At 49.6% G+C, this 12,574-nt stretch overlaps 1 protein-coding gene across 2 annotated transcripts in view, besides 2 other annotated features; it reads left to right on the forward strand.

Moving 5' to 3' along the window:
* The window catches only part of WNT5B (Wnt family member 5B), a 30,157-nt gene extending 18,529 nt beyond the window's left edge, over positions 1-11,628 (forward strand). The window contains exons 4-5 of one of the 2 annotated variants that reach the window (NM_030775.2): positions 4,100-4,392; positions 10,210-11,627. In NM_030775.2, coding sequence (NP_110402.2) covers positions 4,100-4,392; positions 10,210-10,668 — 752 coding nt within the window. In that variant the 3' untranslated portion in view covers positions 10,669-11,627. Of the gene's footprint in view, positions 1-4,099; positions 4,393-10,209 lie in introns of both variants that reach the window. The other variant, NM_032642.3, reaches the window with a different exon arrangement.
* Positions 11,008-11,508: an enhancer, noted in NCBI's record as "H3K4me1 hESC enhancer chr12:1755758-1756258 (GRCh37/hg19 assembly coordinates)". NCBI's record gives its function as "activates a minimal SCP1, AML or CMV promoter by ChIP-STARR-seq in primed H9 embryonic stem cells {active_cell/tissue: H9 hESC(primed)}" and the evidence as "EXISTENCE:reporter gene assay evidence [ECO:0000049][PMID:30033119]".
* Positions 11,509-12,009: an enhancer, noted in NCBI's record as "H3K4me1 hESC enhancer chr12:1756259-1756759 (GRCh37/hg19 assembly coordinates)". NCBI's record gives its function as "activates a minimal SCP1, AML or CMV promoter by ChIP-STARR-seq in primed H9 embryonic stem cells {active_cell/tissue: H9 hESC(primed)}" and the evidence as "EXISTENCE:reporter gene assay evidence [ECO:0000049][PMID:30033119]".

Here is a 12,574-nt window from a genome sequence, read left to right on the forward strand (position 1 = left end):
TGTGTAGAGGGAAAGCTTCCGGTGGCTATGGAGGGTAGCTCGGGGCTGAAGCTTGGGAGGCTCCCTCCGTTCCAGGATGCCATGTCAGGTGGTTGAGGCTGCATTTTAAGGAGATGAATTCCTCAAAGTGGGGCCCAGACCCTCCTCCCTGAGAGGCTCTTTGGCCATCTTACCATCCCCAGTGCTCCTTGTCACATTCTGAGCCCCGTAGACCGGGTCCTGTCGGCTGAATCATGAGTGTAACTTCCTGCCATCATTTCGGTTTTTCTTGGGCTATTCCTATTTCACAACTGACCAGAAGCCAGCCACTGGTTAATAGAGAAAAACGGACTCACTCAGCATGGTCTGTTTGTAAACTTCACTGTGTCATGCCCAGATAATCAAGAAGTAGGGCCAAGGGAGAGATTTCTCTAGACCTCTCGGTTGATTGCAGACTGCTTCCCTTTCTACCTTCCAAGACAAGACTCTGGGATTCTGCCTGGTTTAATCTCTGAGATCAGGATTGAATCTGTTTCCTGCTAAGAATCACTCCCTTCTCTCCATATCTAAGTCCCTATAAGTATCATTTGTTATTTCTTATAACAGCTTTATTGAGATACATAACTCCCATACCATGAAATTCAGCATTTTAAAGTGTAAATTCAGTGGCTTTGAGCATATTCACAAGGCTGTGCAACTATCAGCACTGTCTAATCCCATAACATTTTCACCGCTCCACAGAGAAACTGCACACCCGTTAACTGTCACTCTGCGTACCCCAACCCCCAACCCTAGGCGACCACTATTCTTTCTGTCTCCATGGATTTGCCTATCCTGGGCATTTCTTATAAATGGGATTATAGAATACATGGCCTTTGGTGACGGGCTCCTTTTACTTAGCACAATGATTTAAAGGTTCATCTGTGTTGCAGTCTATATATATATATATATATATATATATATATATATATATATATACTTTTTTTTTTTTTTTTGAGACAGGGTCTTACTCTGCTCCCCAGGCTGGAGTGCAGTGGTGTAATCATAGCTCATTGCAGCCTCCAACTCCTGGGCTTAAACAATTCTTCCACCTCAACCTCCTGAGTAGCTGGGACTACAGGCACATGCTACCATGCCCAGTTTTGTTTTGTTTTGTTTTGTTTTGTTTTGAGATGGAGTTTTACTCTTGTTGCCCAGGCTGGAATGCAATGGTGTGATCTCGGCTCACTGCAACCTCTGCCTCCTGGGGTCAAATGATTCTTCTGTCTCAGCCTCCTGAGTAGCTGGGATTACAGGCGCCCGCCTGGCTAGTTTTTGTATTTTTAGTAGAGACAGGGTTTCACCATGTTGGCCAAGCGGGTCTCGAACTCCTGACCTCATGTGATCCATGCTCCTTGGCCTCCCAAAGTGCTGGGATTACAGGCATGAGCCACCACGCCCAGCTTAATTTTTTTCTTTTTTAATGTTTTTGTAGAGATGGGGTACTGCTATGTTGCCAAGCTGTTCTGAAACTCCTGGCTTCAAGTGATCCTCCTGTCTCGGCCTCAAATTGCTGGGATTACAGGTGTGAGTCACCACGCCTAGTCACTTTTTATGGCTGAATAATATTCCATTGTATGGATAATACCACATTTTGATTACCCATTTATCCGCTGATGGATAGTTTGGTTGTTTCCAATTTTTGCCTGTTATGAATAATGCTGCAAGAAGCATTCCTATGTCCATTTTTGTGTGGACATATGTTTTCCTTTCTCTTGGGTATAAAGGCATACTTTCGAGATATTGTGGGTTTGCAGATTTGGTTCCACCGTACTGCAATAATACTGCAATAATGTGAATAGGCAATAAAGTGAGTTGCATGGTTTTCCAGTGCATATAAAAGTTATGCTGCGGGCCGGGCGCGGTGGCTCACGCCTGAAATCCCAGCACTTTGGGAGGCCCAGGCGGGCGGATCACGAGGTCAGGAGTTCAAGACCAGCCTGGCCAAGATGGTGAAACCTCGTCTCTACTAAACATACAAAAAAAAAAAAAAAAAAACTAGCCAGGCGCGGTGGCAGGTGCCTGTAATCCCAGCTACTCGGGAGGCTGAGGCAGGAGAATTGTTTGAACTCGGGCAGCAGAGGTTGCAGTGAGCTGAGATCGTGCCACTGCACTCTGGCCTGGGTGACAGACTGAGACTCTGTCTCAAAAAAAAAAAAAAGTTATGTTTACACTATTCTATAGTCTATTAAGTGTGTAATAACATTACATCTTAAAAAAAGTACATCCCTTAATTAAAAATACTTTATTGCTAAAAAATGCTGACACAGAAACACAAAGTAAGTACATGCTGTTGGAAAAGTAGCACGGATAGATTTGTAGCAGGGTTGCCACAAACCTTCAATTTGTAAAAAACGCAACACCGGCCAGGCACGGTGGCTCACGCCTCTAATCCCAGCACTTTGGGAGGCCCAGGCGGGCGGATCACGAGGTCAGGAGATCGAGACCATCCTGGCTAACACGGTGAAACCCCATCTCCACTAAAAACACAAAAAATTAGCTGGGCGCAGTGGTGTGCCTTTGTAGTCCCATATACCGGAGGCTGAGACAGGAGAATGGCGTGAACCCGTGAGGCGGAGCTTGCGGTGAGCCGAGATTGTGCTACTGCACTCCAGCCTGGGTGACAGAGCGAGACTCTCTCTCAAAAACAAACAAACAAACAAACAAAAAAACACAACACCTGCACAGCACAAGAAAGCTGAGCATAGTAAAACGAGGAGCTTTGCCTGTGTTCTTAGGAGTGGAATTGCTGTGTCATATGGGAACTCTACGTTTAACCTTGTGACTGTTAGCCTTAGACTGCCAGACTGTTTTCCAAAGCAGCTGCACCGCTTAACCATTCCCACCCACAGTATGGGAGGGTTCTGGTTTTTCCGTGTTCTCACCAAGTTGTTATTGGCTGTCTTTTTGATGATAGCCATCCCAGTGGAGGTGATTTGGGCTTGCATGTCCCTGATAGCTGAGTATTCTGAAACAGACATTTTACTGAAATAGAACATACATTATATGAATGTTGAGGTGGTTCACCACAGCAGTAAAGGGGAACATAGTTGGGATTTTCTGCTGGAAAATGATCTGCGTATTTAGAGGGACCGTGATGAGTGTCTGGAATTGTAGGTGCTGTAGATGTTGTTCCCAGGGCTCCTGAGTTAGGAGGCAGTGTGGATCCTGTGGAAGAGAGAGGAAGACAGCTTGGATTTTTCTAGACATTGTAATTCTAGTTCATTTTTGACTCCTGGCCTCTGCCACTGTCTAGCTAGATAATGGCAGCAGTACCGACAGACAGATGTGCAGCTCATAGAGCGTGAGAAATGGCATCTGTGAGGGAGACATTTCTGCTAGGATACAACGTCCTACTCTTGATACCATGATTTCTTCCTTAGCCTCATTCTGTTCGACTCCCATGTTCTGTGTGTTTCTGAATGCCTATTCTCCCCTCCGCTGAGGTCTCCCGCCTAGGAATCTGCAGGTCACACAGGCTCTTCTGCAGTGGATATTAATGCAGGCCAGGACCGGAGGGACTTGTTTTTTTGTGTTTTTTTTTCTTTTTTTTGAGACAGAGTCTCACTCTGTCGCCCAGGCTGGAGTGCAGTGGCGCGGTCTCAGCTCCCTGCAAGCTCCGCCTCCCGGGTTCACGCCATTCTCCTGCCTCAGCCTCCCGAGTAGCTGGGACTACAGGCGCCCGCCACCACGCCCGGCTAATTTTTTGTATTTTTAGTTGAGACGAAGGTTTCACCGTGTTGGCCAGGCTGGTCTCGATCTCCTGACCTCGTGGTCCGCCCGCCCCGGCCTCCCAAAGGGCTGGGATTACGGGCTGAGCCACCGCGCCGGGCCAGGGACTTGTTTTCTTCCGGGTGGTTTCGCAGGGCTGAGCTGGGGCCCAGCGGCGGAAGTAAAACAGCAGATTTCAGCCCATTATAAAGAGACGTTTCCAAGCGTTAGAGCTACGGGAAGCGAAGCCCCCTGCCCCAGGGGTGTCAGCAGAGCCGTGGCGTGCGGGTCCGTCGGGGGAGACGGGGGGAAGGACAGGTCCCCGGGAGAGGAGAGCGCACCCGCTTACCGCCCTGGCCTCATTCTGCAGGCAGCCGAGAGACCGCCTTCACCCACGCGGTGAGCGCCGCGGGCGTGGTCAACGCCATCAGCCGGGCCTGCCGCGAGGGCGAGCTCTCCACCTGCGGCTGCAGCCGGACGGCGCGGCCCAAGGACCTGCCCCGGGACTGGCTGTGGGGCGGCTGTGGGGACAACGTGGAGTACGGCTACCGCTTCGCCAAGGAGTTTGTGGATGCCCGGGAGCGAGAGAAGAACTTTGCCAAAGGATCAGAGGAGCAGGGCCGGGTGCTCATGAACCTGCAAAACAACGAGGCCGGTCGCAGGGTAAGCTGGGCCTCCCCGGCCTCCCCAGCACTGCAGACCTAGGGGGCTGTTCCCGGGCTGTGCCACCAGCCGTGGCCTGGCCTTCAAGGAAACGGGTTAGTCTGACCGTGAAGATTCTTACCTACGATTGCAAATTTACATGTCCACGTTATTGAACAAATCCTTTTCAAAATGCCCCACTTCCCAATGGGCATACGTGCTTTTTCTTTTCTTTTCTTCTTTTCTTTTTACTTACTTTATTATTTCACGGTTCCTAGAGGACTTAGGTGCAATGTTTGGATCAGAATTCCAGACGTAAGGATTAGAGCAGCGCTCTTGTCTTGGCCACCCCTCCTTTGCAACTTGAATAGATAATGCGATGGGATGTTTAGGCCGTTAGACCTCATCTAGGGTTTATGCTCTGTTAAAGGCTCTGGTAATAGCAGAGTCGACTTTCAAGAACTGCTGTCATACGTATCCAGAACCCAGTCAAAAAACACATTCAAATACTAATGACAAACACACTTCTGAGCTAGGAGATTTTAGACATAAGTGGAAGTGTGAGAAGACAGCCATCTGTTTAAGGCTGGAGGAAACAGCCTCCCCAGTCTCATGTAATGTGACTGTCTTTTAAGCCTCAGTTTCAGCAGAAGCAACCATGCAGGTTTGAGGGGAGCTGGGTTCATTGTATGTGCAGAGCACACCTGGGCGGCAGCTTCTGGGCCCCTAGGTGGCATGCTGGAAAGCGTGAACCCTCTCTGCCTGCACCTTGTTCCTGAAAACCCCCCCTCTGAGCACACATCCAGCCTCCTCTTTTCTTTGCTGTCCCCCATCGTGGCTGCCTCTGCCACACAAGACTGGAGGGCCTGCCCCGCAGGAATCTCTGCCTTTTGCTGCTTCTGCATAGCCAGTGTTGACAGGGACCGAGGGCAACATGGGCGTCCACCCGGGTTTCCTCTGAGAAAGGTCTGCGGTCTGAGCACTGGGTGGTGAGAGGCTCTTTCTCCTGGAAAAAGAGCTCTCAGGAAACAGCACGGACTTCTTTCTTGGAGTGTTGTCCCCACTCGGGTCTATGTCAAGCCAGCTGGCTCTGGTTCCCAGGCGAGGTAATGTAACAAAGATGAACTCACTCAAAAATGAGAATGGTGGCCGGGAGCAGTGGCTCATGCCTGTAATCCCAGCGCTTTGGGAGGCCAAGGCAGGTGGATCACTTGAGGCCAGGAGTTCGAGACCAGCCTGACCAACATGGTGAAACCCTGTCTCTACTAAAAATACAAAAAATTAGCTGGACTTGGTGGCAGGCACCTGTAATCCCAGCTACTTGGGAGGCTGAGGCAGGAGAATTGCTTGAACCTGGGAGGCGGAGGCTGCAGTGAGCCTAGATCACACCATTGCACTCCAGCCTGGGCAACAGAGCAAGACTCCATCTCAAAAAAAAAAAAAAAATGAGAATGGCAATTTCTTAGAAGTTTAACGGTGGCACCCTGGTGATTCAGTAACAGGATATGAATATAAGCCTCAAAATGTCTTTACATAGCAAAATCTTAAAATGTGAACTCATGAGAGGCGGGGCACGGTGGCTGATGCCTGTAATCCCAACACTTTGGGAGGCTGAGGCGGGTGGATCACCTGAGGTCAGGAGTTCAAGACCAGGCTGGCCAACATGGTGAAACCCCATCTCTAGTAAAAATACAAAAAGTTAGCTGGACGTGGTGGCACACGCTTGTAATCCCAGCTACTTGGGAGGCCGAGGCAGGAGAATTGCTTGAGCCAGAGGTTGCAGTGAGCCAAGATCCTGCCATTGCACTCCAGCCTGGGCAACAGAGCGAGACTCTGTCTCAGAAAAAAATAGAAAGAAAAAAGAAAAGAAAAAAAATGTGAACTCATATATTGGAGCACATATCAAAGAAATGGAATAGGAAGTGTCTTTTGTCTGAATGGGGATGTTGTAGTATTGGCCGGATGGAATGTGGTGCACCTGTGTGCATAGCATCATCAGCCATGGGACATCAGGTGGAGACCAGAGTGGGTTATATGCCCAGGGTCTTCCTTACGCTTCCCCTATCCAGAGGCTATTTTTGTTTCCCAGAAAAGGGTGTGTGTAAGGTGGGGTCAGTGCGTGGTGATGTTAGGAGTTCTGGCAATTGCTGATCTGTGATTATGATAGGCTAACCCAGGGCAGAGAGCCTGGAGCCATCTCAGATGACTTCTGCTCAGGGCGTGTGTGGAGCCACCCGGTCTCTCAGGTGTCTTGGCTGTCTCCCAGTCTATTTGCCCACGTCTTTGGGTGTCTGGGCCTGAGGAGTAGAGATGTCAATGAAGGGGTTAAGATCCGCACTTTATCTCCTGACTGCCCAGAGTCGATCCAGTTTTTGAAATCTTAGTTGAAACACTGCCCTCCCCAGTCCCCATTGTTAGTAGTTTTTCTCCCACCTGATCTTCAATCGGGCATTCTTGCTCTTCTCAGGTATTCCTTACTCTATCTACCTTTGCCTTGGTAGGTTGGCGGTAGGTTCCTGTGGGCAGGGATTGCCCTCTCTGCCCCTTTGCTTCAACCCTGTATGTGCTGTATGTGGGTGGGACAAATGGATATACACAGAGGAGTTCCGTGTTGCCTCCTCGGGAGAGGTCAGATTCACGGAGGCTGCTTGTGGCTCTGCTGAGCTGCGCTGTGGTGTCTGCACGTGCCTGTGATCAGGCAGGTGACACCCACTCTTCCCCTTTCCCCTGCTGCTGGGTCTCACTTTATTGCCCTTAATTGTTTGTTGTCTTGTCCGGGCTGTTATCTGGCAGCCTTCCCTCCCATCAGGCTTGTTCCTGGCTTGCTCACCTTCCCTGTCTGTCTCCCCGCTTAGCCCCTTCCTTCAGGCCCCACACCTCTCCTCTTCCTTAACTCCTTATCTCTCCCTTTGCCTCTGCCTGCTTCAGGTTGGGAATTCCTGGCCCCCTTTATTTTTTATCCTCTCTCCAAGGAACAGGCCTCGGCCATCAGTCACCATCTGAGGCCAGAGGTATTCACTGCTTGCCTCCTCACACCTACACACAAAGTTCTCCAGCAAGGACTGAGTGATGGCTGGGATGGAAAATAGACAAGTATTTTAGAACCATATTAAAAAGAAAAAAAGATTATCCAGGATCTGATGTCTTGACACAGAGTAAATCTTAGGCTACTTTGCCAGAAGTTTCTCTTGGCCTGCAAGAGCATCTAGTAGCTCCTTCTTAGACGGTGGCGGCAACACCAGTGGCTGATGGTGTTTTGCCACTCAAGGATTTCTAAGCATTTTCCAGATAAAAGCCTGGTGCCTAATCCTGTAACATTCCTGTCTGTCACCAGGCTCAGCACACCATTAGATAGAAGTGGAAGAGGAGCTGAGAGGCGCTTTTCCAGGGACAGATCGTAGAACTAAAACTTTTTTCTTTTTTTTTGAGACGGAGTTTCGCTCTTGTTGCCCAGGCTGGAGTGCAATGGCGCGATCTCGGCTCACTGCAAACCTCTGCTTCCCAGGTTCAAGCGATTCTTCTGCCTCAGCCTCCCTAGTAGCTGGGATTACAAGCATGTGCCACCACGCCTGGGCTAATTTTGCATTTTTAGTAGAGACGGGGTTTCTCCATGTTGGTCAGGCTGGTCTTGAACTCCCGACCTCAGGTGATCCGCCCGCCTTGGCCTCCTAAAGTGCTGGGATTACAGGCATAAGCCACCATGCCCGGCGAACTAAAACATTTTTGAAAGCTTTTTTTTTTTTTTTTTTTGCTTTTTGAATTAGCAGTCTGGGCTGAAAATCGGCATTTCCCCCTATCGCCTACAAAAGGAGCCTATATATATATATATATATCTACAAAAGGAGATTTTGTATATATACATATATATATATAAAATCAGTAGTAAAATATGAAAAAAATTGCAGATATTCCTATCTCTACAATGTCTTTGAATTCAGGGAAGGATGGAGGGGGTGTTTAAGCTGGTGCACTTCCTCTTGGATTTGTTTTCCTAAAATTCTGGTCCTTGCCCTGCAGGGTCTTGCTCCGACTCTCCTTCCCCAACTCTGTCTGAGTGTTTGCCCCTGCAAGAGATGCTTATCCGTGCTCCGAGTTGCTAAGTGGCAAAGTGCACAGTTTCCAACCCTTAATGTTTCCTCCTCTCAGCAGTGCCAGACGCCTGTCATCCATCTCTAAGCCAAGGACCATTTCCAGAGGAATGTCAGGCTGCAGCTCAGACCCAGGGCATTTGGGATGGAAGGGTCATTGCAGGCCCCATCTTTGAAGTGTCTGTCAGGATGGGGTGTCAGTTCCTTTATGTCTTGGACCTGGAGCTGCCCGGCTAAGTGCTGGTGCCTTTAACCTTGGGGAGAGCCTTCCTTCCTCCTCTGCTCTAAGCCAGCTTTAAGCCCCGAGATTGGAGTGGATAAGTGCTTGTTATTCTGAGTCCTTTCTGGGTGGCCTTGGAGGTTAGTGAGCCTCTCTAGAGCTTCAGTTTCTCCACCATAAAATAGTGGGAATAATTCCGTACCAGAAAAAACTCAGGAAGACTTTTGCCAACAGTCATATGCACTGATGATGGCTGTGCTGTCTCTTGCACCTGCAGTGGTCTCTGCTTAGCTCTGAATAAAGACACAATCTGGGGGCTCTTGAAAAGAAATCTAAGAGAAACCCTTGAAAAATGAGTCCTGACTCAGTTGGTGACAATAGCCATGCATAAGAAAATGCTCTGCAGCCGGCTTGCGTTTTCATCCCGCCATCTGCACGTCTAGGCCTGCTGCCAGGGTTGGTTGCCATGGTGCGTCAGCATGCTGCCGTTGAAAAGCACTCTGTAAGCAGCTTTCTGGTCTGCTCTTGCTTTTACATTTTGATTTGGGATAACTCAAGTTCAAATCTACTCCACGTTGTGGCGGTTCTGTGACTTCTGGGGTAGACTTGTTTTAGATGAACCGCTCCTGCAGGCAGGCCCAGCTGCTTGCAGTTCCCTTGCACGTTGCTTCACTGTGTTACTCCAGCTCTCCCAAGGGGGCGTCTGGGGGCTGCTCGGGAGGAAGACGGTGGTCTTGCTCACAAATGGATGGTGTATGGCAAGACTCCTGATGACTCTATGGAGTTAGTGACTACATGGTAACATGGGGAAAGGGACCATTTAATTCTCAGGGTATTTGACAGGATCAGGGAGAGTTTTGGGCTAACCACGGCTATGCCAGTGATTTCTGTGATAGGCTTGTGATACAATTGGATTCTTTTTTCTGACTTGTGCTCCTATTACGCAAAAGCTGGACACATTTTGTTATTTTGTTTTGTTTTGCTTTGTTTCTAGAGATGGAGTCTTGCCCTGTTGCCCAGGCTGGAGTGCAGTGGCACAAGCATAGCTTGCTGCATCCTCAAATTCCTGGGCTCAAGTGATCCTCCTTCCTCAGCCTCCCCAGTAGCTGGGACTACAGGCACCAGCCACAGTGCCTGGCTGTATTTTGTTGGTTATTATTTATTTGTTTGAGGCTTTGATCAAGATGGAGATATCTTTGTTTTCCGATTGTGAAAAGGATGCATTGATTGTAACAGGTTTTGAGGAATGAGAAACCAGTAGAGTAGAAAGTGAAAGTGCCTGGTGCCATCCTCCCGGCTGATGGGGACAAGTTGCCTTGCCGCCCCAGGGTTCTTTTCTGTGGTGCCTCTTTTATGTTTTCCCCCTGAGCACCTGAGCATCTTGGAAAGATCTTTGCATGCATTTGAAAAGCTATCTATCCCCTACCCTACCGGCCCCTCCTGTGTACTAGGCCTGTGGCTACCCCAGCCACCCTCTGGGCCTCTTCCACCGGGATCCTCCTTCTTACTGCCTTCTTTCTCTTCCCCTAGGCTGTGTATAAGATGGCAGACGTAGCCTGCAAATGCCACGGCGTCTCGGGGTCCTGCAGCCTCAAGACCTGCTGGCTGCAGCTGGCCGAGTTCCGCAAGGTCGGGGACCGGCTGAAGGAGAAGTACGACAGCGCGGCCGCCATGCGCGTCACCCGCAAGGGCCGGCTGGAGCTGGTCAACAGCCGCTTCACCCAGCCCACCCCGGAGGACCTGGTCTATGTGGACCCCAGCCCCGACTACTGCCTGCGCAACGAGAGCACGGGCTCCCTGGGCACGCAGGGCCGCCTCTGCAACAAGACCTCGGAGGGCATGGATGGCTGTGAGCTCATGTGCTGCGGGCGTGGCTACAACCAGTTCAAGAGCGTGCAGGTGGAGCGCTGCCACTGCAAGTTCCACTGGTGCTGCTTCGTCAGGTGTAAGAAGTGCACGGAGATCGTGGACCAGTACATCTGTAAATAGCCCGGAGGGCCTGCTCCCGGCCCCCCTGCACTCTGCCTCACAAAGGTCTATATTATATAAATCTATATAAATCTATTTTATATTTGTATAAGTAAATGGGTGGGTGCTATACAATGGAAAGATGAAAATGGAAAGGAAGAGCTTATTTAAGAGACGCTGGAGATCTCTGAGGAGTGGACTTTGCTGGTTCTCTCCTCTTGGTGGGTGGGAGACAGGGCTTTTTCTCTCCCTCTGGCGAGGACTCTCAGGATGTAGGGACTTGGAAATATTTACTGTCTGTCCACCACGGCCTGGAGGAGGGAGGTTGTGGTTGGATGGAGGAGATGATCTTGTCTGGAAGTCTAGAGTCTTTGTTGGTTAGAGGACTGCCTGTGATCCTGGCCACTAGGCCAAGAGGCCCTATGAAGGTGGCGGGAACTCAGCTTCAACCTCGATGTCTTCAGGGTCTTGTCCAGAATGTAGATGGGTTCCGTAAGAGGCCTGGTGCTCTCTTACTCTTTCATCCACGTGCACTTGTGCGGCATCTGCAGTTTACAGGAACGGCTCCTTCCCTAAAATGAGAAGTCCAAGGTCATCTCTGGCCCAGTGACCACAGAGAGATCTGCACCTCCCGGACTTCAGGCCTGCCTTTCCAGCGAGAATTCTTCATCCTCCACGGTTCACTAGCTCCTACCTGAAGAGGAAAGGGGGCCATTTGACCTGACATGTCAGGAAAGCCCTAAACTGAATGTTTGCGCCTGGGCTGCAGAAGCCAGGGTGCATGACCAGGCTGCGTGGACGTTATACTGTCTTCCCCCACCCCCGGGGAGGGGAAGCTTGAGCTGCTGCTGTCACTCCTCCACCGAGGGAGGCCTCACAAACCACAGGACGCTGCAACGGGTCAGGCTGGCGGGCCCGGCGTGCTCATCATCTCTGCCCCAGGTGTACGGTTTCTCTCTGACATTAAATGCCCTTCATGGAGGTTTTGCTCCCTTTCCTTATTTGGACCCACGCTGATCTTTCATGAGTCTCCTTTTATTTTTTATTTGGCCTTTAGAACTCTGCTCTGCAGTGTGGATGAGGGTAAGGAAATTGAGACTCCTTAGACTGTATAGTCTGGTGATCAGGGAGAGGAACAGATGAATGTTTTGAGAATTAAATAAGGTGATGCATTTAGGCATTCACCCCAAGAGCTAGCACAGTTAAACACTCAGGAAGTGGTAGCCATTAATATTACTGCTATACACAAGGGAGTTCAGAAATTTAAATTGAAACCTCACATTTACCTGCCTCTTTCCCTTCCCCTATTTGATAGCCTACCAAGCGAACCCTGGCTTGTTCCCTGGGTCCCTGTTAAAGCACGGGTAATGGGGATGCCCTTTGCCGTCTCCTCTGTGTTGCTGTCTGCAATTTTGGACTCCAGTATCTGGGGCCAGGAGGGTAAGGCTGAGCTTGAGGATCCAGGAAGGGAGATGTTATTATCCTAAAAAGGGAGGAAGGAGTGATTGAGGGAGACATGGAGCCAGGCTGCTGTAGAGTGACCAGCCTGCAGGTGAGCCGGTAACTACAGAAAGACATCAGTTTTATTCTAGAAAACTTTATTTCTGGAGAAATAATTAATGTGTTAATTTGGGTTATAATGAGCAAATGATATTGCAAAACTGCTTAAAAGAGATTCTGCCTGAGGGCATTTATGCCATGCATACTACCTGTCTCTTTAGTACCTGAGGGAGAATGTTCTGACCCAACCAAGAACCTCAGACCTAGAGTTATTTCACCTGTAGCTAACTCACACTGTTACCCAGATTCCTTTGGTTGATACTTTCAAGGTGACATTTCATTTTCATGAAAGAAAATGATTGAAGTTATGGCCGGGCAGGGTGGCTCATGCCTGTAATCCCAGCACTTTGGGAGGCTGAGGTGGGTG

The sequence above is a fragment of the Homo sapiens genome, chromosome 12 (genome assembly GCF_000001405.40).
Source record: "Homo sapiens chromosome 12, GRCh38.p14 Primary Assembly".
In the NCBI taxonomy this organism is placed as follows: Eukaryota; Metazoa; Chordata; class Mammalia; order Primates; family Hominidae; genus Homo; species Homo sapiens.